The sequence below is a fragment of the Homo sapiens genome, chromosome 22, assembly GCF_000001405.40.
Source record: "Homo sapiens chromosome 22, GRCh38.p14 Primary Assembly".
In the NCBI taxonomy this organism is placed as follows: domain Eukaryota; kingdom Metazoa; phylum Chordata; class Mammalia; order Primates; family Hominidae; genus Homo; species Homo sapiens.
The window spans coordinates 40,349,342-40,375,783 of record NC_000022.11 but is presented as its reverse complement, the minus strand read 5'-3'; the positions used below and the strand labels follow the sequence as shown (position 1 = coordinate 40,375,783).

At 45.6% G+C, this 26,442-nt stretch overlaps 2 protein-coding genes across 28 annotated transcripts in view, besides 3 other annotated features; both read right to left on the bottom strand.

The window, feature by feature from the left end:
• The window catches only part of SGSM3 (small G protein signaling modulator 3), a 39,696-nt gene extending 34,506 nt beyond the window's left edge, over window positions 1-5,190 (bottom strand). For all 18 annotated transcript variants that reach the window (NR_146412.2, NR_146414.2, NR_146415.2 and 15 more), the window contains exon 1: window positions 5,096-5,190. The gene's annotated coding sequence lies outside the window, so the exon portion shown is untranslated. The remainder of the gene's footprint in view (window positions 1-5,095) is intronic.
• ADSL (adenylosuccinate lyase) overlaps window positions 1-26,442 on the bottom strand; it is a 41,028-nt gene that overhangs the window by 11,744 nt on the left and 2,842 nt on the right. For 2 of the 10 annotated variants that reach the window (NM_000026.4, NM_001317923.2), the window contains exons 2-13: window positions 25,749-25,952; window positions 22,667-22,711; window positions 21,457-21,536; window positions 16,749-16,920; window positions 16,478-16,524; window positions 15,292-15,382; window positions 14,442-14,511; window positions 14,149-14,296; window positions 12,713-12,803; window positions 11,419-11,508; window positions 10,728-10,904; window positions 6,417-9,348 (exon numbers count right to left, since the gene is read on the bottom strand). In NM_000026.4, the coding sequence (NP_000017.1) occupies window positions 9,262-9,348; window positions 10,728-10,904; window positions 11,419-11,508; window positions 12,713-12,803; window positions 14,149-14,296; window positions 14,442-14,511; window positions 15,292-15,382; window positions 16,478-16,524; window positions 16,749-16,920; window positions 21,457-21,536; window positions 22,667-22,711; window positions 25,749-25,952 (1,302 nt within the window). In that variant the 3' untranslated portion in view covers window positions 6,417-9,261. Of the gene's footprint in view, window positions 1-6,416; window positions 9,349-10,727; window positions 10,905-11,418; window positions 11,509-12,712; window positions 12,804-14,117; window positions 14,297-14,441; window positions 14,512-15,291; window positions 15,383-16,477; window positions 16,525-16,748; window positions 16,921-21,456; window positions 21,537-22,666; window positions 22,712-25,748; window positions 25,953-26,442 lie in introns of those variants that run through there. The other 8 variants (NM_001410812.1, NM_001363840.3, NR_134256.2 and 5 more) reach the window with 8 other exon arrangements.
• Window positions 4,805-4,974: a silencer, noted in NCBI's record as "silent region_13770". NCBI's record gives its function as "represses an Ori minimal core promoter by ATAC-STARR-seq in GM12878 lymphoblastoid cells {active_cell/tissue: GM12878}" and the evidence as "EXISTENCE:reporter gene assay evidence [ECO:0000049][PMID:35858748]".
• Window positions 5,035-5,144: a silencer, noted in NCBI's record as "silent region_13769". NCBI's record gives its function as "represses an Ori minimal core promoter by ATAC-STARR-seq in GM12878 lymphoblastoid cells {active_cell/tissue: GM12878}" and the evidence as "EXISTENCE:reporter gene assay evidence [ECO:0000049][PMID:35858748]".
• Window positions 5,295-5,504: an enhancer, noted in NCBI's record as "active region_19084". NCBI's record gives its function as "activates an Ori minimal core promoter by ATAC-STARR-seq in GM12878 lymphoblastoid cells {active_cell/tissue: GM12878}" and the evidence as "EXISTENCE:reporter gene assay evidence [ECO:0000049][PMID:35858748]".

Genomic DNA, 26,442 nt, shown 5'->3' with positions numbered 1-26,442 from the left:
TTACAGACATAAGCCCAGCCTGTTTCATGTCTTTAGAGTGTTAGCTTGCAGGCTAATTAGATATCTAGAGAAGGGTGAGAAAAGTCACATAATTTTGTTGTAGTGAAAAAAAAAAAATTCTCTGTCTTAATTGGAAATTATACCCTTTCCAAGATAAGACTTTTGACACTGAATTGGGGGTGTCAATCTCTTTTTTTTTTTTTGAGACAGAGTTTCACTCTTGTCACCCAGGCTGGAGTGCAATGACATGATCTCGGCTCACTGCAACCTATGCCTCCCAGGTTCAAGTGATTCTCCTGCCTCAGCCTCCCGAATAGCTGGGATTACAGGCGCCTGCCACCACACCCAGCTAATTTTTGTATTTTTAGTAGAGGCAGGGTTTTACCATGTTGTCCAGGCTAGTCTCAAACTCCTGACCTTAGGTGATCCGCCTACCTCGGCCTCCCAAAGCACTGGGATTACAGGCGTGAGCCACCACAACCGGCCTATCAATCTAATTTCTGATATCAGTTACTCTTGTTGATAAAGCTGTTTAATTATTCCAAAGCAGTTAACCTCCCAAAACAATTTACATCATTAGTAGAGAGAAAAACAAATACAAAACATGTATCACACTTAGAAAAAGCAGAAATATGTTTATCACTGCAAAAGAGGCATATATTAGAAGAGACAGTTAATAGTTAACTGTGCCTACTGAAAAGAGGTGAATGTATCTCTCCTCATGTATAAATGGTGAGCATAAATTAGTAAGCCTAAATTTTCAAAAAGGGGAGGTGATTATATATGTAGCATTCAAACAATGGTGCTGTCAAAATCAGTTCATAAGCCACACTGAAAATCTAGCCTTGTTATTTCAGTCATATGCTACTACTGATAGTACTGGTACAATGTGTTTGTTTGAGGCAAGGTCTCATTCTCTTCCCCAGGCTGGAGTGCAGTGGTACAAACATGGCTGGCTGCAACTTCGACCTCCTGAGCTGAGCCCAAGCAATCCTCCTGCCTCAGCCTCCCGAGTAGCTGGGACCACAGGCGCACATCACCATGACTGGCAATTTTATGTTTTTGGTCGAGATGGCATTTCGCCATGTTGCCCAGACCAGTCTTGAACTCCTGGGCTCAAGCAATCCTCTACCTTGGCCTCCCAAAGTGCTGGGATTACAGGCGTGAGCCGCCGTACTGGGCCCCATTCAACAGATATTTATTGCTCACCTACCACTGTTCTAGGAGATGGGGGTGAGGTGGTGAACAACACAAAGCCCCTACTTTCATAGAGCTTACATTGCAGGCAAGTATTACAAAGAAGAAATTGTAGCTCAGTTACCAGATCTGTCAGACTCTAAAGCCTATACTGTATCTTTCAACCATGTCATCTCTCAGTGGATACAGCTTTTCCCTAAAAGTATATACCTAAGCACGCAGTCTTGACACTACAGTCTAGACCAATTTAAGCTTTCTCTCTGGTGGCAGTCCAGTGACATCTTCACAATAAAGTGTTCCTTCCCCAACTCTCAAACTATAAAAACCGCCCTATTGGCTGGGCACGGTGGCTCACACCTGTAATCCCAGCACTTTGGGAGGCCGAGGCAGGCGGATCACGAGGTCAGATCAAGACCATTCTGGCTAACACGGTGAAGCCCCGTCTCTACTAAAAAAAATACAAAAAATTAGCCGGGCATGGTGGCAGGCGCCTGTAGTCCCAGCTACTCAGGAGGCTGAGGCAGGAGAATGGCGTAAATAAACCCGGGAGGCAGAGCTTGCAGTGAGCCGAGATCACGCCACTGCACTCAAGCCTGGGCGACAGAGGGAGACTCCGTCTCAAAAATAAATAAATAAAATAAATAAAAATAAAAATAAATAAACCACCCTATCAGGCCAGGTGTGGTGGCTCACGCCTGTAATCCCAGCACTTTGGAAGGCCTAGGAGGGCGGATCACGAGGTCAAGAGATGGAGACCATCCTGGCCAACATGGTGAAACCTCGTCTCTACTAAAAATACAAAAATTAGCTGGGTGTGGTGGTGCACGCCTGCAGTCTCAGCTACTCGGGAGGCTGAGGCAGGAGAACTGCTTGAACTCGGGAGGCAGAGATTGCAGTGAGCCGAGATTGCCCCACTGCACTCTAGCCTGGTGACAGAGTGAGACTATGTCTCAAAAAAACAAAAACAAAAACAAAAAACACAACTGCCCTATCAGTGGGAAACATACATTGACATGTATAAACTACCCTCTCTCATTAATCTCTAAACTACCTGAGGGCAAGATCCATGTCTTAGCCGTCTTTATAAGTCTAGAAGATGATATACACAGTAGATATTCAATAAATCGTTGAGAGGAATTCATGAGAGTAGTTTCAACAGAGTTGAGGGTAGAAGTCAGACTGCAATGAATGAAGGAGTAAATGGAAGAGAAGAATGTAGAGTCTGCTTCTTAAGGACAAGTCTAGAAAGGAAAAGCAGGAGAAATGGTAGTAATTTGAAGGGAAATATGATCACAGGAAAGTTTCATATATTTTTAAGAATGAGAAAGACTTGAACACAGTTGTTGATAAGGTAGTACAGCACAGACAAAAGAGCAGAGTTTAGAGTCAGGTAGACTTAAATTCTGGCCCTGTCACTTACAGTGACCTGTGACAACTAGTGTCTGGTAAGCAGAAGGCATCCAATAAGTGGTTTCAATGATTATTACTACAGGTAGGAGTGGTGTTCTAACCCCTCCCACATATCTTGTGCTCCAGTCTAGATTCCCTAAGTCTGTGTATAATATGTGATGGCAAAGAAACAGGATCTTTTTTTCTTCTGTAACACTCATTGTGCTATTCCCATTTCCTTGTGACAGTCTGCATGAGCTCATGAATGGCTGCTGTGGAAAATTACTGACGTCACCAGCTGAATAACAGGCTATCTGGAGAGTAAGCAGATGAAACTGATGTTAAATTATCAAATGTACAAGATTTTGGGCTCCTGCCAAAACCTTCATTGAGAACTAAGAAGAGAAAAACTGAAAACACACAGAGCTTTTTTTAAGCTTCTGAGCCAGCAGGCTGTTCCTACATCCACTCCAGGCATAGAAAGATGGCTGTAAAATAAAAGAGATGATTATCTCCTCCCTTCCCTTCTCAATATTTCACCCTAATGTCGGGTTCATTTCTGTGAGGTTCTACCCGAGTTCACTTTTCTATCAACCTGACATGTTTCCAAATTCACGAGGTATGCGTTTTTATATTGAAGCAATTGTTTGTTTACAGCCTTTTAATGTTCTGGTCATGGGTTATGTTAACCTATTACCCATATCTGATCAATAGACACCTCACCCTCTCCCCTCCCAGACCACACACCTCCACGCTTAAAAAGGGACAGGGAGGGCCAGGCACGGTGGCTCACGCCTGTAATCCCAGCACTTTGGGAGGCCGAGGCGGGCAGATCACGAGGTCAGGAGATCGAGACCATCTGGCTAACACGGTGAAACCCCGTCTCTACTAAAAATACAAAAAATTATCCGGGTGTGGTGGCGGGCACCTATAGTCCCAGCTACTCGGGAGGCTGAGGCAGGAGAATGGCGTGAACCCGGGAGGCAGAGCTTGCAGTGAGCCGAGATCGCGCCACTGCACTCCAGCCTGGGCAACAGAGCGAGACTCCGTCTCAAAAAAAAAAAAAAAAAAAAAAGGGGGGGGGGACAGGGAGAAGAACTAAAGCTCAGGCTACTATGATAATTAGGGATGAAAAAGCTACATTCACTTAGGATTATCAAAAGCCAGGAAAGATATCTATAGAATTACAAATTAATCGGGCCTGGCGCAGTGGCTCACGCCTGTAATCCCAGCACTTTGGGAGGCCCGAGACGGGCGGATCACCTGTGGTCAGGAGTTCGAGACCAGCCTGGCCAACATGGCGAAAAACCCCGTCTCTATTAAAAATACACAAATTAGCCGGGCGTGGTGGCGGGCGCCTGTAATCCCAGCTACTCGGTAGGCTGAGGCAGGAGAATCACTTGAATCCGGGAGGCGGAGCTTGCAGTGAGCCGAGATCATGTCATTGCACTCCAGCCCGGGCAAGAGCGAAACTCCCGTCTTAAAAAAAAAATAGAAAAGAAAAGAAAAGAAGAATTACAAATTAATCACCAAGAACAGAAATAGTGTAAAAACAAAGATGTAATTCAACTGTTTAGAGTGCAGAGATAATTGGAACTAAAAGAGCAAGAAAAGCGGGAAACATATGTACCTATAAACCTAATCACAAACCTGTCACAAAAACTACGAGTAAACGAGTCGAAGTTGAAAATGAGTTTTTGTGAATCAGAGTCTGATTTGACTTGAATTTACTAAGAAAGAATAAGAAAGGTGTAGAACATTCCAGGACATCTCTATCCCACCGCAAAACAAAAAAGAGCCATCAACCCACCACAAACGTGCAGCGTGAGACTGGAAGATACACTAGTCACCCAGTCACTGAAAACAACCTTTGAAACATCTTTATTTTTCTTTCCAAATAAAAAAGAGCCTAGGTCAGTAAACTAAGTATGAGAATAATTTTCAAAATTCCAGTCCTAACCACACCGGATGATTCTGGCTAACGTATGCCTCAGTTTCCCCCGTGCTAAAATGCAAACACACCGGTGTTCCGAGTCTCGGGCCTGGATCCGAGCCCGGGTTCTGCACCTGGATCTGAATCTTAAAGGGAAAACCGCAAGTTAAACCTGAGGAGGAGTCTGCAGCTGTCCCGGTGCCAGAGCCAGCCAGGCTCTTTTTAGAAAGCCCCCCGCCTCAGGCGCGGTTTTCGTAAAACCGCTCCCGGCTGCCAGCGCGGTGGATTCCGGCTGGCGCCCCGAACACCTGAGGTGGCCTCGGCCGTCTAGGGGCGGCCGCACCGGAGGACGCAGCCGACCTCCCCGCCCCGCCGCGTCCCCGGCCCCCATTCCAACGGCGACGCGAGCAAGGTCGGCCCGGCGGCTCTCCGGCCCGAGGCGGTGCTTCTCTCGTGGGCGCCTTCGGCCCATACGACCCTCGGTCGGACAGTCCGACCACAGCCGCCCCGCAGCCCCCGCCTGAGGGGAACTTGTAGGCGCCGGTGGGTCTCCGCTGACTCCCGCCCCGCACTCACCTGCCCCACGGGCCACCTCAGCGCCAATCCGGGTCGGGTTAGCAGCTTCCCCACTCGCACCCAGTCAGCGCTCAGCGGCGCCTAAGCGCACGCGTGGCGGGGCGTGGCATGGGCGGCCGCGGGTCATGCTGGGGGCTGTAGTCGTTCCCGCCCACTAGGCGGGGCGCGTCCAGGGGCTTTGCGCCCCCATCCCAAGGCCAGCATGCATAGCGATGATTTCTTCGTCTGCACCGCAGCCTGAGAAGCTTGGGACAGTATGGTGTGGACCAGCAGTCAGGGTGGTGGGAGATAGACGCTGCAAATAACTTGCTAATTTTTTTTTTTTTTTTTTTTTGAGATGGAGTCTCGCTCTGTCACCCAGGCTGAAGTGCAGTGGCGTGATCTCGGCTCACTGCAACCTCCACCTCCCAGGTTCAATCAGTTCTCTGCCTCAGCCTCCCGAGTAGCTGGGATTACAGGCGCCCGCCACCACGCCCAGCTAATTTTTTTGTATTTTTAGTACAGTATTTTTAGTAGAGACGGGGTTTCACCATGTTGGCCAGGCTGGTCTCGAACTCCTGACCTCAGATGATCTGCCCGCTTCAGCCTCCCAAAGTGCTGGGATTACAGGCGTGAGCCACCGCGCCAGGCCGGAAAACGAAATTTTCTGAGTACCTTCTGTGTCAGATTCTATGCTGTGCAATTCCCATCTCACCAACCCTCACATCCACCTAGGCTTCATATCACCTTTCTAGGGACTCCTAACCCTCGTGCTTCCACTAAAGCTGTGTTTACAAACATCAGGCTCTCCTGGTTCTTAAATGAAACTGAGCATCAGCCAGGGAAAGAGGGCATTAAGTGTCCAGGTGTCTGACTTCAGCTGAGCAGACATTTCATCAGTTGCCCCAAGTTCTGCCCAGAACCTGACATCTGGGTAGTTCTGATGCTGGAGTCCGTGTGAATTTAAACCAATCTTAAAGAAAATACAACAGCCTGGGTTAACAGAGTGAGACCCTGTCTCTACAAAAAACAACAAAAAATGAACCACGTGTGGTTGTGTGTGCCATAGTCCCAGCTACTCAAGAGGCTGAGGTGAGAGGATCGCTTGAGCCCAGGAAATCAAGGCTGCAGTGAACTGTGGTCATGCCACTGCACTCCAGCTTGGGCGACAGAGCAAGATCTTGTCTATATATATATATAAAAGATAGATATATGAATGTATATTATATATAATATATATGAATGTATATTATATATAATATATATGAATGTATATTTTATATATATACATAAATGTACATTTAATATATATATGTTTTCCAGTGAACACGCAGACCACCCATCAAATTAAAATGTTACATGGGAAAATCAGATTACAAAGTTGCATACAAGTATGTAAATACAAAAATAAAGGAGAATGGAAAAGGAAAGAAGACAAGAGATGCACCAACAAATCCACCCATTCAAATAGTCCAGGAAGAAACCAGGTCAAATCGCCAATCACTGGAGATCATTAGTCTAACAGAATTGTTAGGACAGGAACAAGACTGTTATTTCCTTATTTTCTATGAGGAAATGTATTAACTAAAATCCATGGTATCCTATATCCCCAGTATCTGTTATGTAATATAAATTCTCACATTACAGATAAACTGATAGTAGTTGCTGCCTCCAAGTTGCCCATAGCAGAGAAGGAAGTAGACAGAATATCTGGTCAGAGTCCCATGACTTAATTTCCTTGTGTCAGACTTAGTATCCTTTCAAGATTTTTTCTGTTTTGTTTTTTCAGATGGAGTCTCGCTCCGTTGCCCAGGCTGGAGTACAGTGGCATGATCTTGGCTCACTGCAACTTCTGCCTCCCAGGTTCAAGCAATTCTCCTGTCTCAGCCTCCCAAGTAGCTGGGACTATAGGCGCCTGCCACCACGCCCGGTTGATTGTATTTTTAGTAGAGACGGAGTTTCACCTTGTCGGTCAAGCTGGTCTCGAACTCCTGACCTCAGGTGATCCACCTGCCTCGGCCTCCCAAAGTGTTGGGATTACAGGCGTGAGCCACCACCGCACCCGGCCCTTTTCAAGATTTTTTAGAGATGAACAGAGTAACTCTTTCTGGAAGTTGAGCAAATGGCTCTATGCTATCCCTGCTTGCTTGCTATACTAGCCTATGTTCAGAATTTGGTTTTCAGAATTGTCTTCTATTGTTTTTCCAAAAGGATAAGCTCTTCTCTTAGGTTGGCTTTAAGTGACAAGGGCTCGCTGTCACCCAGCCTGGACTAAACTCTTGGGCTCAAGTGACCCTATCGCCTCAGCTTCCCAAGTAGCTGGGACTGTAAATGCGCATCATCGCAACCTGATTTCCTGGCTACTTTTAAATAAAACTGGAACCGATTCAGCCTCCTCTCCCTCACAACATTCCTAACGAGGCAGTCTTCCAGCTTCTGCCTGACCTGGGGGATTGAGTGTAGGTTGCTAATCTCAGTGGTTCCAATGTCTGGCCCCAAGCCAGTCTCAGTAATGGGTATTGAGCTCAGTGTGTCTCTTGGGGCAACACACAATCAAGTCACTCTTCCTGCACCTGGCAATATTTGAAGTGCCGAGGAGTTTTCTTCTGTATAGGATAAAGAGCCCTAACATTCCTCCACCACAAGATCTTTTTGGAGGTTGGCTCTCCAGTTCATCTCTATTCCTCAGACTGGGTATCCAAAATTGAATGTAATGCCAAGAGTGCGGAGCAGTAAGCCTCTGGTGGCTTTTTGGGCACTGGACAACCATTAACACCTCCTAAAACAGTCTTCTCTCAGTTCTGGTGCATACTGAGTTTAAGATTAACTTATTTACATTGATCTTTATTAACTTTTTCCTCTAGTTTAGGACACATCATTTCAGCCGATTTAGGTTAGAGATGAAAACTTATTTTACCAAATAAACATACTTGTTAATTCTCCCAGTTTTGTGTCATCTGCAAATCTGATAAACAAAAGCTTTCATTTTCATCTATGCCGAAAAATATGTAGGATGAGAATGGGCTAAATAACACTAGTGCTCTCCTGGCAGGTAGGTAATTAACTCAATCTTTGGCTACAGTTGCTTCAATCAGCTATAAATCCATGCAACAAGGAAGTCGGGCGCAGTGGCAGAAGCTGGAAGACTGCCTAGTTGCCAAGTATCTGATGTGCTCTTGCTATTGGAAATACAACAAGGAATGACACAGACAACGTTCTTGTCCAATGGCACTTGCTTACACTGTAAACAAGTAAAAAAAGAAAACAAGATTAGGCTGGGTGTGGTGGCTCATGTCTATAATCCCAGAACTTTGGGAGGCTGAGATGGGCGGATCACTTGAGGTCAGGAGTTCAAGACCAGCCCGCCCAACATGGCAAAACTCCATCCCGTCTAAAAATACAAAAATTAGCCAGGCATGGCGGCAGGCGCCTGTAATCCCAGCTACTTGGGAGGCTGAGGCTGGAGAATCGCTTGAACCTGAGAGGCGGAGGTTGCAGTGAGCCAAGATTGTGCTACTGCACTCTAGTCTGGGTGACAGAGCAAGCCTCAACAACAAAATCCATGCAACAAGGAATAAAGACTGTCAGCGGCCCTGATGAAATCAATATACTCAATTAGCATTTCCCTGCTGTATAAGCCTTATCAAAAGATGAAATGAGCTTGGGCACAACTTCAGCTCAATCAGCCTGATGGTCACATCAGGGTTTGGTTCTTTTTTTTTTTTTTTTTAAGTATTTACTGTAGTTCCAAACTTCATCACTTATACTAGCCAAAAATAACCGAAATAAAAGGTATCTGACCATTGACTCAATCACTGAGTCCAGGTTATTTTGCTAGACCTAGATCAAATTCACTTTTAGAAGACAGGACCAGAAATTTCTTGCTACTTTACAAGCAAATGAACACGTGAAAAGGACTAAACTTGAGGCAGCTGGAAAATATGCCTTGAAAGAACAGAGATCAAGTATGAACTACATTTACTATGCAAGAGCAGAGTCAACTTCAACGCTCTTTGTTTTTGCCTTGTTGAGAAATGTGAGACTGAGAAACAGGAAAGCACCATGGGAAGAAGAAAGTGCTGTACTAATTTAAGGTAACAATTCTCGAGGTAAAATAAGGCATTATAGTAACACAATTTTCATGCCTCAGCAATTAACAATGATTTTCGTTTAATTCTCTTCCAACTCTACAGACATAATTCTGCTTTCACCTTCATCACGCTTTCATATGGTTTTAACAGGGGATACACCTCCTCTTCTAAGAATCTCTGCACCTGCCAGAGGAAAGCAAATACAAGACAAAAGAAAATGTTAAGATATTAGCAGATAATACCTTTTCCAATGTCAGGGGATACCACTGAAACCTAATTTGATGAAGCTTTTACTCCAACACTGAGCTTGTTTTCCTCAACTGCCTATCAGGAATTTCTGCCTAGACACAGATGATTCAACCACCATGCCCACATGCTCACCAACCTTTCCCGCAAACTGGCCCAGCCTGTGTTCTCTCAGGTGGTTTCACCATTTCCATCCAACCTAAAAATCACCACAGCTTCTTTCCTCCTGCTTCCCAGCCCTCTTCAAGTAGCCACCAAGAGCTTAACCTCCTCTCCCTCCCCGGTCTGTGTCTCTCACCACTGCCTTCACTCAAGCTCTCATCATCTACTGCTTGGCCCGTTGCAGTAGCCTCCTTATTGGTCTCCTACCTCCAGTTTTAGTCTTTTAGCCCTCAGTCCTTGCACGTACTGCTTGGTATCATAATGACCTATTTACAAGTATTCACCACTAAGTTTTGAGCTCTCTGAAGATGAGGATTATCTATTCATCTTTGTATTTTTTTTAAGACAGGATCTCATTTTGTCACCCAAGCCAGAGGGCAAGGGAATGAATATGGCTCACTGCAGCCTTGACCTCCTAGGCTCAAGCTATCCTCCCGCCTCAGCCCTGAGTAGCAGAGACTACAGGCGCACACCACCACACCTGGCTAATTTTTGTATTTTTTTGTAGAGACAAGGTTTCACCATGTTGCCCAGGATGTTCTTGAACTCCTGAGCTCAAGCAATCCTCCTGCCTCGGCCTCCCAAAATGCTAGGATTACTGGTGTGAGCCACTGCGCCCAGCCTATCTATTCATTTTAAAATCCCCAGAATTAAATACAGTACCTGAACACATACTGAGCACCTAGTATATACTCAGGCATTTCAATCATTACAACACTGAGATATTTACTTTTACCTTCTCAGCCAGTAAATGCCAGAGGTTACGATTTAACCCAGATCCACCTGACAATAAAACCTAATTCTTTGTCCATTATACCACATTCTCAAGACCAAAAGATAATTCCAAAAAATCTACACAAAGAAATAAAGGCAGCTCAAAACAGCGGTATCTTGGTCAGTTGTGGGGGCTCATGCCTATAATCCCAGCACCACTGCACTCAGCACCACTGCACTCCAGCCTGGATGAGAGACTCTGTCTCAAAAAAACAAAACAAAACAGAAACAAAACCGAAATATCTAAGTTTTAGCCAGCAACCTGCTCTGATTTTCTTCTAACTAGCCCATTCCCACCATACCTCCTATAAAGCAAAAACATCAAAGAGAGTACCCCAGGTTCTGCAGCCCAGCAGAAAAGAGGCTTCTTGGAAGCTTACCTGCTGGGAGGCACGACCAGTGAAAGAAGAAGGATCCAGTAAATGATCCAACTGGGAGTGAATGGGACTGAAGTAGGCATCAACCTGGATACGCTCTATGAGGTCATTGTCACCCCCTTCCTGCTTAACCACAGAAGCTGCCTGCTGAGAAAGCACTCTGATTTTCTCATGGCAATCCTGGGAAGACAGTGAAGTATTGTCAGTTCCCTACTAACAGGGCGTTTGAACACTTTTAAAAAGTCATCAGATACTTCCCATCCATGCAGTCTACACAGCTCTACACAAAACCCCTCTAGGCTGAGGTGGTTCCTGTGTCTATCTGTACCAGGGTCTTCTCAACTCTCTGCCCACATCTTAGGACAAGCCTGAAATGGATGCCCACCTTGCTCTGGCCCTCTTCTGTAAAGCCTCATGAATCATTTGCTCGTTTCCTGCTCATTTCCTACAGAATGTCAGACCTCATTCCTTCACTAGGAGTGGACTTTTCCTACAAGTGATTAAGTAATTCACTTTAACAAATTCAGTTCACCAAAATCACCCTCCATAGATGGCAGATTATGGCCACTGCTCTGTACCATTACTGTGACTGAAGGTAATGACATAAACACCTTCATCTGCTCTCCTTCACGGAGAAGAGAGCAGGACCAAACGTGCACTCTCAACTTATCCAGGAACATGAGGGGTTACAAACCTGGCGGCTACCTCCAGCTTTGACCATGGCCATGATGATGTTCTCTGTGGCCATGAAAGGCAGCTCTTGCCGAATGCGCCGTTCAATTACCTATAGGAAAAGATACGGTGAATGACCAAGAAAGGTGCCTCAAGGTTAAAGTCATAAACACAGCAGGATGTCAAACAAAATGCACAGCACAGACACTAACTACCACATTATGGAGAGTAACAAGTTGTTTTATTCTATATGATGTTTTTTCAGTTTTCTTACTAACTCAGACTTCGGATTTTTTTTTTCTTTTTTTTTTGAGACAGAGTCTCACTCTGTCGCCCAGGCTGGAGTGCAGTGGCGTGATCTCAGCTCACTGCAAGCTCCGTCTCCTGGGCTCACGCCATTCTCCTGCCTCAGCCTCCCGAGTAGCTGGGACTACAGGCGCCCGCCACCACGTCCAGATAATTTTTGTATTTTTAGTAGAGACAGGGTTTCACTGTGTTAGCCAGGATGGTCTTGATCTCCTGGCCTCGTGATCCCAAAGTGCTGGGATTACAGGCGTAAGCCACCGCGCCCTGTCAGACTTTTGATTTTTAAAAAGGAAATATTAACTTAAAAAAAGTTGCCACATAGGAAGAGGTTTTTTTTTTTTTTTTGAGATGGAGTTTCGTTCTTGTTGCCCAGGATGGAGTACAATGACACGATCTCGGCTCACCGCAACTTCCACCTCCTGGGTTCAAGCAATTTTCCTGCCTCAGTCTCCCGAGTAGCTCGGATTACAGGCACCCGCCAACACGCCCAGCTAATTTTTGTATTTTTAGTAGAGACAGGGTTTTACCATGTTGGCCAGGCTAGTCTTGAACTCCTGACCTCAGGTGATCTGCCCGCCTCGGCCTCCCAAAGTGCTGGAATTACAGGCGTGAGCCACCACGCCTGGCCTGAAAGAATTCTTAAAACCCCTATTTGTTACATATCAGTGCTCAGCCTCAAGAGCTAAGTATAGGAGAGAAATGAACCCATCTGCCTCAAGTACTTAAAAACAGGCAAATGGAGACATCTACTCTGCCTAGTCACACCAGAGCTGATGATTCATGCTGCTAGATAGTTTAAGGCAATTTAAAATACTTCTTTTTCTGTTTCTATAATGTGTCTATGAATTCCACAGAGCTAGTTCCCTAGAGCTTATGAACTGAAGGATGAGCTCGGGTGGGAAGAATGCCTATCGGATCAGAATACAGCTCCCTCAACACACCCCAGAGCACCCTCCCTCCCACATTCTAACCCCTCCCTAGTACTTTACTTTTGAATTGAGGCTTCTTACTTTGGGGTACACGACCAATCCTTCAGAAATGTTCTGCAGCGTATTCAATATAGTATCTGCGGTAAGAAATGCCTCGGCCAAACAGATCCGTCTAGAAAACAAATAGCCATTCAGTATGTCTTTAAACAAATAATTTCAGTGAAATGCAGTGTGTGTCCCAACAAGTTGCCCTACTGACTGTACTCTCTGGATAATCTCCTTCAATCTTATGATTACCCCAATAACCTCACGACCCTCAAATCTGTCACCTCTAGGCCAGACCACTTGCTCAAGTGCCAGACCTCATACCTACTGAGTGAGACGTCCACCTGGTTGATCTATGGGTACCTCAATCCCCAAACTGAACTCAGCCACTTTCTCATTCCTCCTACTCACCATTACATACCTGCCATTCCTCCCTTGTAGCTCCTGCCTCAGTAAATGGCAGTAGCGCCCCACTCACCAAGCTCTTTATACTCACTCCGGTCAACCACCAGGGCTGGGCTGGCCAGTCTGCCTTCGACTCTGGATCTATATCCTTCCTCTCCATTTACATGGCCACTGCACCAATGTGGCCTCAGACTTTTAAAGTAGCCCCTAACTTGTTCTGACATGATCCCTGTCTCCTTACAGCCAACTCTCCAAACTGTTGCTAGGGTCTTTTAGCAGGCAAATCAGCAGACCTACAGGGTCACACCTTGCTAAAAAGTATTCAATGGCTGACTTCTGAATGAGTTCACATGACTTATTTCCAGAGATAAATCGTGGATTATGCACAGATCCCAGAAAGCTAGGTTTAACTATACATCCGTATCCACTCAAGAAATTCCAGCAAAATGCGAGCAGGCGAGAGTAATGCCAATCTGCTTTAAGTGAGTATATACATAAAACAGAAAATGATGCGCATGTTGGCACCTCAACAGTAGTTACAAATTATTTCTGACTCATCTCATAACTAATCAAGATGTCATTGTGCCTAGACACCACAACTGACATCTATCTGCCTTCAGAAAAGACCCAGAAGACCTTTCATAAACTGGCTATCTGTGACCATGTCCTGCCCCACCTCCTGGCACATGTTGACTTCATTCCCCAGGGCTACTCAAGTAGTAGTAACTCCCTCAAGTGTGTTTTCTCCTGCTTTGTGCCTTTATAATGCTCCCGATCTTGTCTTTAAAAGATGCATGTATTTCTTAAGTCTTAAGGCATCACCTCTACTGTGAAGCTTTCTGACTCCTCAAACACTATTCCTTCCTCTTTGCTCCACAGTACCCAGTACACACTCCAATTGTAACACTTATCACACTGTCCTTTTTATGTTTTTGCCTCCCTGCTAGACTCTGGGATCCTTGGGGATAAGGAGACTGTAGAGATGCTCAAATATGTCCTTTTACTTCTAGGTCCCTCCTTCAGACCTCCACTCAACTTGGTGTATGTGATGTCCCTGTGCCACTGACCGGTTGGCACTATCATCCAGTGTGCGTTCAAACCACTGGACAGATGCTGTCTGTAGCGGGTCCATGACAAGGGTCATCAGGTGGCGGGCAAGACTGCAGCAACGTTCTGAACGCATGGGATTCCGCTTATATGGCATCGCACTTGAGCCTGCCCATGTAAAAAAAGGACAAGATGCAAAGGCAGAGAGACTTCAGAGGATAGTGAGTAGGCAAGCATGCTGAATGAGCTCTCAGCCCCCATCCACAGCCTTCCAGCAGCAATGTGTGCTCACAGGTCTCTACACAGCACTCACCAATCTGCTGTTTTTCAAAGGGTTCCTCCATCTCCTTGAGGTTTGCCAGGAGGCGTATGTCGGTGCAAATCTGGGGGAGGTAGGGGAATAAGCATCACCCCACACTGTCAGTGTGCAGTAGAGTCTGGGAGCTGTGACTAGGCTGATGAAGGAGATGAGCTCTTAGGTGTGCTGTGGCTGAGCTGAAGACCAGCGCATCCTCCCAAAGAGCTCCTGCAGAGTATCTTACTCCGACTCCTCTCTGTTCCCGAAGGACTGGGATGACAAATTCAAGGAGCATGAAAACGCTTTTGTGAAACACTGCTTAAGGCATCATGGAAAGAAAATCACAAGATTAATTCAGGATGGGCGCGGTGGCTCACACCTGTAATCCCAGCATTTTGGGAGGCTGAGGTGGGTGGATCACCTGAGGTCAGGAGTTCGAGACCAGCCTGGCCAACATGGTGAAACCCTGCCTCTACTAAAATTAGCCAGACATTGTGGTGCATGCCTGTAATCCCAGCTACTTGGGAGGCTCGCTCGAACCCAGGAGGTGGAGGTTGCAGTGAGCCGAGATCATACCATTGCACTCCAGCCTGGGCAACAAGAGCGAAACTCCATCTCGAAAAAAAAAAAAGATTAATTTAATATACCACTGAACAAGATGGATGTTTTGCAGTGCTTGAGATAACTTTAAAGAAAATGCCAAAACGAGTCTTCCCCTTAAGGGTTTCATTTACAGACCACAAATTATTAAAACTAATGTAAAATATTGCTTGAGAGAGATGGTTAAGTAAAAGTCTGAGGTTAATTCAGTCTGTCTGTGGTGCCCAAAGCTCCTGTCCCCACCCCACATGCTGCCACCACTCACCTTGTGCACTGATGCCCCCAAGCTAGCCAGCACAGACAGTACTTCAATATCCACTTTTCGTGTATATGTCTGCCCTGTGATGATGAAAGCTCTAGGAATAAGTACAAGAGAGACTTAGGTTAAAATATTTTAAAGCCATTGCAGTGGTGCATGACTGTAGTCCCAGCTACTTAGGAGGCTAACGGAGGAGGACTGCTTTAACTCAGGAGGTTAAGGCCAGCCTAAGCATCACTGGGAGACTCTTATAAAATAATAATAATTCAAAACATGACTCTGTCAAACAAGGAAAAACACATCCTAAAGAAAAGCTTGGTCTTATTGGTATGCTAAGTTATACTCAACCAGTGGACCTGAGTGGTAACTTGCTCCTGGAATAAACTATTCTTCCACCCTTTTCACTAATACTCAGGACAATGGCCTGACTCAAGAAGGATACATGGTGCAACGTGCCCATGTCTGGCCACAGCCCAATAGAAATGCCTGGGAGAAGGAGCCATGGTGGAACCTGGTGGACCTCAATGGAAATGGTCAGATTTAGCCTAACCTGTTGGGGGCCCTAAGTAAAGAAACAAAAATGGTAACAACATGGATAAAGGTATTCTAAAGAAACCAGAAGTAAATCATTTTCTTTTTTCCTATAGATTATACAAAAAGAGAATGCAGGTCAGGCATGGTGGCTCATGCCTATAATCCTAGCACTTTGAGGCTGAGGCAGGTGGATCGCTTGATCTCAGGAGTTGGAGACCAGCCTGGGCAACATGGTCTCTACAAAACAATACAAAAATTATACAAAAACAATACAAAAATTAGCCAGGCATGCCTGTAGTCACAGGGGGCTTAGGTGGAAGGACTGCTTGAAACTGGGAGGCGGAGGCTGCCGTGAGCCGAGATCACACCGCTGCACTCCAGCCTGGGTGACAGAGTAAGACCCTGTCTCAAAAACAATAATAAAATAAAATGAAATCCAGAAAATATGTCAGCAAGACGATTAGGCGAAAAAAAAAAAAAAAAAAAAAGAATCCAGATAGTAAGAAAGTAAAACCCAGGATAGAGACAGGAAAAAAAAAAATGGGTAGAAGAACAAAGGAAGAAAAAGGCAAAAATTGTAAGGTCAAATCTGCAGGTATACTGAATATAGGACTTCCATCAACTTAACAGGGAGGCCAACACATTCCCATTTACCTACCTCTTAAATCCTGCCTTTTCTGTCACCATCTTGTCAAGCTGCTCTACCTTGGAAAGAAAAGACACATCCTTATAATAATCCATGTGTCCAGTGTGAGAATGCCTCAACCTGTCATCCTACCCAGGTCTCGCTCCCTAACCCCCACAACTTCCTTCTAGTCGAAAGACCCCACCCATCCCACAGTCAATCTCTCCTATCATCCTCAAAGGCAGCCTTGTCTCTTAGGCTCCACCATTGAGTTTCTGTGTCCTGCAGGTCACTTTCAGAATACCTTATGGTCATCTCCCTCAAAGAGCTGCAGGAAACTGGCCTGAGTGCCAGTGGTACCCTTTACTCCCCGGAAGCGCAGGTCATCTCGGACACGCTTCAAGTTCTGGAGATCCATGCAAAGATCCTGAATCCAAAGACAGCAACGTTTCCCAACTGTGGTCAGCTGTGCAGGCCTGAAAACCCAAAGAGAACACACGAAAGTCTCAGACCGAGACCTTAAATCATCAAGGTTTCATTGCTTCTTTTAATAACCACCATTACCCCTTGGAGGGAGAACAATTTAAGTAAGAGAGGGAGTAACTGGTAAAGATAAAACAAGAGATAAAATGTTTAACCAAATAATCGTTACGGAGATTCAATGTCATTTACAAATAGTCAAGGAGTATGAAACTAAAAGGCGATTAGCATAGTACTTTCTTCATCAAGAGGCAATTTTTAAATTATTATTATTTCTAGACTGGGTCTTGCTCTGTTGCCCAAGCTGAAGTGCAGTGGCATGAACATAGCTGACTGTAGCCTCGACCTCTGGAGCTCAAGTGATCCTTCTGCCTCAGCCTTCCATGTAGCTGGGACCACAGGCATGCAATACCATGCCTGGCTAATTTTTAAATTTTTTGTAGTGACGGGGTCTCACTTTGTTGCTCAGGCTGGTCTCAAACTCTATGTCTCAAGCGATCCACCTACTTCAGCCTTCCAAAGTGTTGGGATTACAGGCATGAACCACTGTGATGCACGGCAAGAGACAATTTATTATAAGGGCAGGGACAATGTCCCTTTTGTTCATGGCTATATCCACAGACATTGGTAAGAAATACATTAGATACTCGTGTAATATTTGCCAAGTATCTGATGTACTCTTACTATTGGAAATACAACAAGGAATAACACAGACAGGGTCCTTGTCCAGTGGCACTTGCTTACATTGTAAACGAGTAAAAAAAGAAAACAAAACAAGATTAGGCCAGGCGCGGTGGCTCATGCCTATAATCCCAGCACTTTGGGAGGCTGAGACGGGGGGATCACTTGAGGTCAGGAGTTCGAGACCAGCGTGGCCAACAGAGACAGGTAAAACCCTGTCTCTACTAAAAATACAAAAAATTAACTGGGCGTGGTGGCGGGTGTTTGTAATCCCAGCTACTTGGGAGGCTGAGGCAGGAGAATCACTCGAACCTGAGAGGCAGAGGTTGCAATGAGCCGAGACTGTGACACCGCACTGGGCGACACAGCCAGATTCTGTCTCAAAAAAACAAATGAAAAAAAAGAAACAAGATTAATTATTGAGATTTTAAGTGCTAAAAGAATAAAAGAACGATGAAGGTAATGGTGATGGCTGCTCTAGATTGGAAGTAGAGGAAAGCCTTTGTGAGGAGTCAAGATCCAGTGAGGAATAGTCATGCTATGGAGAACAGCTACACAACACACATAACCAGAGGACTCAAACACAGCAGCTAATGGCTTTGTTTCCAGCATTAAGCCTAAATCAAAGTAGGGTGCCATGGCTCATGCCTGTAATTCCAGCACTTTGGGAGGCCAAGGAGGGCGGATCACCTGAGATCGGGAGTTTGAGACCAGCCTGACCAACACAGAGAAACCCCGTCTCTACTAAAAATACAAAATTAGCCAGGCGTGGTGGTGCATGCCTGTAATCCTAGCTACTCGGGAAGCTGAGGCAGGAGAATCACTTGAACCCAGGAGGCGGAGGCTGCGGTGAGCCAAGATTGTGCCACTGCACTCCAGCCTGGATGACAAAAGCGAAACTCCATGTCAAAAAAAAAAAAAAAAAAAAAAAGCCCAAATCAAGCCACTGAAGGTCTGTTTCTGAACATAAAACATAATTACGAGGCCAGGTGCGGTGTCTCACGCTTGTAATCCCAGCACTTTGGGAGGCCGAGGCAGGTGGATCACTTGAAGCCAGGAGTTTGAGACCAGCCTGGCCAACATGGTAAAACCCTGTTTCTACAAAAAATACAAAAACTGGCCAAGTGTGGTGGTGCACACCTGTAATCCCAGGTACTTGGGAGGCTGAGGTGGGAGAATCACTTGAATCCGGGAAGCTGAGGCTGCAGTGAGCTGAGATCACACCACTGTACCCCAATCTAGGTGACAGAGTGAGACTCTGTCTCAAAACAAAACAAAAAAACAAAATATATAATTATGAATAAGTTGCCCTAATGTCCAATTTCTTTCTTTTTTGAGACAGGGTCTCACTCTGTCACCCCAGGCTGGCACACGCTGGTATAATCACAGCTCACTGTAGCCTCAATCTCCTGGGCTCAAGCCAACCTCCTGCCTCAGCCTCCTGAGTGGCTGGAACTACAGGCACAAGCCACCACACCTGGCTAACTTTATTTTTTTTAAGAGCCATGGTCTCCCTATGTTGCCCAGGCTGGTCTCGAACTCCATGCCTCAAGCTATCGTCCTGCCTTGGCCCCGCAAAGTGCCGAGATTACAGCCATAAGTCACTATGACCAGCCTAATTTCTTTCTTTTTTTTTTTTTTTTGGAGACGGAATTTCACTCTGTCGCCCAGGCTGGAGTGCAGCGGCGCGATCTTGGCTCACTGCAACCTCTGCCTCCGGGGTTCAAGTGATTCTCCTGCCTCAGCCTCCTGAGTAGCTGGGATTACAGGCATCTGCCACCACACCCAGCTATTTGTGTTATTTTTAGCACACATGGAGTTTCACCATGTTGGCCAAGCTGGTCTTGATTTCCTGACCTCGTGATCCACCTGCCTCGGCCTCCCAAAGTGCTGAGATTACAGGCACGATCCACTGCGCCCGGCTGCCCAGCCTAACCGCCCAGCCTAATTTCTTTCTTTCTTTTCTTTTTTTTTTTTGAGGTGGAGTCTCGCTCTGTCACCTAGGCTGGAGTGCAATGGTGCAATCTTGGCTCACTACAACCTCCGCCTCCCAGGTTCAAACAATTCTCCTGCCTCAGCCTCCCAAGTAGCTGGGACTATAGGCATGCGCCACTGCGTCCGGCTAATTTTTTTTTTTTTTTTTTTTGTATTTTTAGTAGAGACAGGGTTTCACCATGTGAGCCAGGCTGGTCTTGAACTCCTGACCTCAGGTGATCCACCCACCTTGGCCTCCCAAAGTGCTGGGATTACAGGCATGAGCCACTGCACCTGGACCCAGCCTAATTTCTAATAGATAACCTAACCTATTCCAAATGGAATTTCTTTCCTCTTAGGCTAATGACACTGACAGCTAGGAACATCAAGGCGTAACACTAGGAATGTCCATAGGAGGCACATCACAAGCTATAGTATATCCCCAAAATTAATCTTACTGTTTTCCTTGTTAACTGCTAACAGATTATTGGTGTAAGCAAAGAAAGAAGTAAATTAGCATGGACTTGTTCATGGCAGCATTATTCATAGTAGCCAAAAAGTAGAAATTACCCAAATGTCCATCAGTTGTTGACAATTGGGTAAATGAAACATGGTACAACCAATGGAACGCTTTTCAGTCATAAAAAGAACCGAAGTTCTGATTCAACATGGATATTGAAAACAGCAACAGAAGCCAGACACAAAAGGTCACATATTGTATGCGATTCTGTTTATATGAAATGTCTAGGCCGGGCGCGGTGGCTCACGCCTGTAATCCCAGCACTTTGGGAGGCCGAGGTGGGCGGATCTCAAGTGGGCAGATCACTTGAGGTCAGGAGTTTGAGACCAGCCTGGCTAACATGGCGAAACCCTATCTCTCCAAACAATAAAAAAATTAGCCGGGCATGGTGGTAGGCGCCTGTAGTCCCAGCTACTAGGAAGGCTGAGGCGGGAGAATCATTTGAACCCAGGACGTAGAGGTTGTAGTGAGAGTGAGCCAAAATCACACCACTGCACTCCAGCCTGGGCAACAGAGCAAGACTCCCTCTCCAAAAACAAAACAAAACTCAAAAAGTAGAAAGAAATTTAATTTTCCTATTATCTCATAAACCAGAGTAATCAACATTTACATCATGGTGTACTTTCAACCAATTTTTGTGCAATTTATAAACTGTCTTTGTTACCATAACACAAACCTAAGTGCATTTGCACATTAGATCTTGTAAGCATCATTTAAATGGTTGCATGTTATTCCAACCTATGGATGTATGAATACTATGCCTTACTTATTCTCTTATTATTGAACATTTAGATTTTTTTCTTTTTTTTTTTTTTTGAGACGGAGTCTTGCTCTGTCACCCAAACTGGAATGCAGTGGTGCGATCTTGGCTCACTGCAACCTCCGCGTCCCGGGTTCAAGTGATTCTCCTGCCTCAGCCTCCTGAGTAGCTGGGATTACAGGCATGCTACCAAATCTGGCTAATGTTTGTATTTTTAGTAGAGACAGCGTTTCACCACATTGGCCAGGCTGGTGGTGAACTCCTAACCTCAAGGGATCTGCCCACCTTGACCTCCCAAAATGGTGGGTTTACAGGCATGAGCCACCACACCCGGCCCATTTAGATTGTTTCTAATGTTTACTATCATAAAGAATATTTTTCAAGGCTCTTGATATGTATTTCCCAATGTTTCCCAAATGAACTGTTAGATTTACTCTCTCAGTGGATATCAGGCTCATTCCTTATAAGCATCCCAAATTACTTATATTTAAATCATGTTTTCAGATTCTTCACCTCAAGGTTACTGTGGAAAACAGAGAACTCAAGAAGCAGCTGAAAGCCATATGCACATAAACAAGAAGTAATCTTATCACTTACTGGAAATGTGTGAAACCTAATGTGGGTAGACTGGCTCGTTCCTTAGCAAAGTCGGCAAGCCGAGAGATCACTCTGGCAAGCTACAAGAAAGATCATGTGATAGAAAGAGGTTGAATTCAGGTTGTGTTCATTACATAATTAGGAACAAAACTTTCAGATAATTTTGTATAAAATTAGACCGCTAACTCATGAAAGGCAGCAGCCATATCCTTCCATCTTTGTACCCTAAAGTGCCTGGAAGAGTTCACAGTAACCAAAATTTGAAAACTGAGTTGACTACCTAAAATGTCATGAACTATTTTAAGACCACGGCAGAAAAACAGAACAAAATCATAATCCTGACCCACATATCCCAGCAACATGCCTTTGGTTGCACTCTCTTCGTTTAAAAGCCTATGCTTGGGCCGGGCGCGGTGGCTCATGCCTGTAATCCCAGCACTTTGTGAGGCCAAGACGGGCGGATCACGAGGTCAGAAGATCCAGATCATCCTGGCTAACACGGTGAAACCCCGTCTCTACTAAAAATACAAAAAAAATAGCTGGGCGTAGTGGCGGGTGCCAGTAGTCCCAGCTGTTCGGGAGGCTGAGGCAGGAGAATGGCATGAACCTGGGAGGTGGAGCTTGCAGTGAGCTGAGACTGTGCCACTGCACTCCAGCCTGGGTAACTGAGCGAGACTCCATCTCAAAAAAAAAAAAAAAAAAAAAAGGCTATGCTTTAAAAACCATTTAGTCTTTTAAAGAGACAGCTGGGTGCGGTGGCTCACACCTGTAATCCCAACACTTTGAAAGGCCAAGACGGGTGGATCCCTTGAGCTCAGGAGTTTGAGACCAGCCTGGGCAACATGGCAAAAACCATTTCTACAGAAAATTAGCCAGGTGAGGTGGCATGCACCTGTACTCCCACCTACTTGGGAGACTGAGACAGGAGAGCTGTCTGAGCCTGGGAGGCGGAGGTTGCAATAAGCCTTGATCACGCCCCTTGACAGAATGAGACTCTGGCTCAAGAAGAAGAAGAAAGGAGAAGGAGGAAGAGAAGAAGAAAGGAGAAGAAGAAACAATTAGTTCTACAGATTAAACATAGGGTTGTCATTCACCTGAAAAAATGATAGTCTATGTAAAAATTTACACTGTGTTGATTTAGTTGTAACTGGTGCCTATCTCCTAACATAGGGAATCTAGGGTTGGTAGGAAACATCTGCCAACTCCTTACCTTTGGCAAAAGCAGGTCAAGTGCATTTCTAAGAATAATCAAGTCCTACGAAAGAAAATGCAATGATCTTATATTTAGCAGCTTTGCTCAAACAATATTATTACATAACACTTTTTGGCCAGAAAGGCTGGGTTGCTCAGCTACCAGCCTATATCACCACTACCAACCCACTAAGCACGCCAGAAAATACTAACACAAGTTGTTCTTTCCTGATTACTGTTTGAAAAGCACACCAGCTTAACAGTACTACTGAGATCTGTAAGGAACAAAACCTTTATACTTATAAAGCCCAAGGTACATGGTATCTAAGATGACTGAAGGTTGGGCATGGTGGCGCATGCCTGTATTCTCAGGATTTTGGGAGGCTGAAGCAGGTGGACTGCTTAGGCCAGGAGTTCAACATCAGTCTGTGTAACACAGCAAGACTGTCTCTCCAATATTAAAAAAATTCTCAATTAAGAAAAAATGACTGGAAAATGTGCAAGTCAACAAGGTTTCTATTTTCCCAGAGAGGAGGGCTTGAGCTTCTGAGAAGCTTCCATATGGCACATTCCATTACTTTCCTCCCGTTTTCTTTTTTTTTCTTTTTAAGATGGGAGTCTCGCTCTGTCGCCCAGGCTGTAGTGCAGTGGCGCGATCTCAGCTCACTGCGAGCTCCACCTCCCGGGTTCACGCCATTCTCCTGCCTCAGCCTCCTGAGTAGCTGGGACTACAGGCACCCGCCACCACGCCCAGCTAATTTTTTGTATTTTTAGTAGAGACAGGGTTTCACCTGTGTTAGCCAGGATGGTCTCAATCACCTGACCTCATGATCCGCCCACCTCGGCCTCCCAAAGTGCTGGGATTACAGGTGTGAGCCACCGTGCCCAGCCTCCCCCATTTTTCTTGCCTACAGTTGCTAACAAGGAAAGGAATGACCCAGAATATCAAGGTTTAGGAAACATAAAGCTGCTCGTGAGGAAGGTAATCTCCAGATGTACATATTTCAGTTAGCTCCAACACATGTCGATATGAAACGGTAATTGTTGAGCCCATCCACACAACTGGGTACTTTTTTAAAGGATTTTCCAAGTAAGAAGACTGTTCTTCTCCCACTATCTGACTCGCCAGTTACACAAAGATGCCTTTAATTATGTTTCATTTAAGACTAAAGAAAGCATTTGGAGGCCAGGGGCAGTGGCTCACACCTGTAATCCCAGCACTTTGGGAGGCCGAGGTGGGTGGATCACGAGGTCAGGAGATCGAGACCATCCTGGTTAACACAGTGAAACCCCGTCTCTACTAAAAATACAAAAAATTAGCCGGGTGTGGTGGCGGGCGCCTGTAGTCCTAGCTACTTGGAAGGCTGAGGCAGGAGACTCCAGCCTGGGAGACAGAGCGAGACTCCGTCTCAAAAAAATAAGAAAGCATTTGAGGCAACTTAAAAATTACTGGCTTATTCTCAAATTGGACGTTTATCTGGAATCTAACTTCAACCTCCATGGGTATACTCTGATTAAGAGCACAAGCTAGGCCAGGTACGCTGGCTCACTCCTGTAATCCCAGGACTTTGGGAGGCTAAGGCAGGAGGACTGTTTGAACACAGGAGTTCAAGGCCATTCTGGGCAGCATGGTGAAACACTGTCCCTATAAATATTTTAAAAATTTGCCAGGCGTGGTGGCTAACGCCTGTAATCCCAGCACTTTGGGGGGCTGAGGAGGGTAGATCGTCTGAGGTCAGGAGTTCGAGACCAGGCTGGCCAACATAGTGAAACCCTGTCTCTACTAAAAATAAAAAAAATTAGCTGGGCGTGGCGGCAGGCGCCTATAATCCCAGCTACTAGGGAGGCTGAGGCAGGAGAATCGCTTGAACTCGGGAGGCAGAGGTTGCAGTGAGCTGAGATTGCGCCATTGCACTCCAGCCTGGGCAACAAGAGCAAAACTCTGTCTCCAAAAAAAAAAAAAATTTTTTTTTAATTAGCCTGGTGCAGTGGCACATGCCTGTGGTCCCAGCTACTCAGGAGCCCGAGGTGGGAGAATCACTTGAGCCCAGAAGGTCAAGGCTGCAGTGAGCCATGTTCGTGTCACTGCACTCCAGCCTAGGTGACAGAAGCGAGACCCTGTCTCAAAGTATTTTTTTTGAGACAGGGTCTTTGAAGGACTTCAGAGTCCTTCAAAGGTCTTCAAAGGATTTCACAAGTCCTTTGAAGGCCAGGCACAGTGGCTCATGCCTGTAATCTCAGCACTCTCAGCACTTTGGGAGGCCAAGGTGGGCAGATAACCTGAGGCTAGGAGTTCAAGACCAGCCTGACCAACATGGCAAAACCCCTCTCTACTAAAAATACAAAAATTAGCCAGGCGGCGTGGTGGCAGGCGCGTGGAATCCCAGCTACTGGGGAGGCCGAGACACAGGAATCAATTGAACCTGGGAGGCAGAGGTTGCAGTGAGCCAAGATCATGCCACTGCACTCCCGCCTGGGTGACAGAGCAAGACTCCATCTCAAAGAAAAAAAAAAAATTCCTTTGAAAAATTACCTCAGCCATTAAAATGCTAAGGCCTTGGCTTACATCCAGCAAACCAATGCATAAGCAGGATCTGTAGGTCTTATTTTATAGAGGTCATTTGGTGCTTACAGTTTAGATTGGAAGCACACTAAAAGCTGAAAAAATTCCTCAGCGTTTTCAACCAAGATACCTTTAAAAATAAAGATCTGGCTGGGCGTGGTGGCTCACGCCTGTAATCCCAACACTTTGGGAGGCTGAGGGGGGTGGATCACGAGGTCAGGAGATAGAGACCATCCTGGCTAACATGGTGAAACCCCATCTCTACTAAAAAAATACAAAAAAATTAGCCGAGTGTGGTGGTGGGCACCTGTAATCCCAGCTACTCGGGAGGCTGAGGCAGGAGAATGGTGTGAACCCAGGAGGCGGAGCTTGCAGTGAGCCGTGCCACTGCACTCCAGTCTGGGAGACAGAGGGAGACTCTGCCTCAAAAAAAAAAAAAAGATCTATAGTGTCACTTCCTCAACTGGACAACATCAAATAAAATTGACAAATAGATTCTAGAGACTGAGTTTTAAGTATAAACAACACAGGCGCCTACAGTATTGTCTCCAACATAGCAAGAAGTAGCACCAAGGTGAATAATGCCTGCAGCTTTTGGACAGCAGTGGCCAAATGTGTGCACGTGAGCCATCACATCATGTCGTAAACGTTTCTCTTCCTCAGCTGCCATCTTGAAGTCGATGTTCTCCAGGTTTGATTTCATCTCCTGGATTTGTTCATCTGTGATAGGCAAACCCAATGTCTGCAGAATAGGCAAAATAAAATAAAATAGTCTCAGTGTCACAGTTATTTGAATGAAGTGACACCAAGGAAAAAAAACTGATTCATGTTAGCAGCACTACCCTATCTCCCAACCCTTAAATTAAAATTTGAGGCAACCAAGTTGAAAGTACACTGGCCAGGGGTAGTGGGGTCGAGGTGGGGTGGGAGAGAACTTCTCAATGAATCATGGTAAAGTATACTATAACAAAGCTCCAACAGACCAGCCTGGGCAACAACGGTGAAACCCTGTCTCTACTAAAATACAAAAAATTAGCCAGGCATGGTGGCGTGCACCTGTAGTCCTAGCTACTCAGGAGGCTGAGGTTGGAGAATCGCTTGAACCCAGGAGGCAGAGCTTGCAGTGAGCCAAGATTGCGGCACTGCACTCCAGCCTGGGCAACAGAGTAAGCCTCTGTCTCCAAAAAAAAAAAAAAAAGAAAGCTCCAATAAATAAAACAACAACATAATCC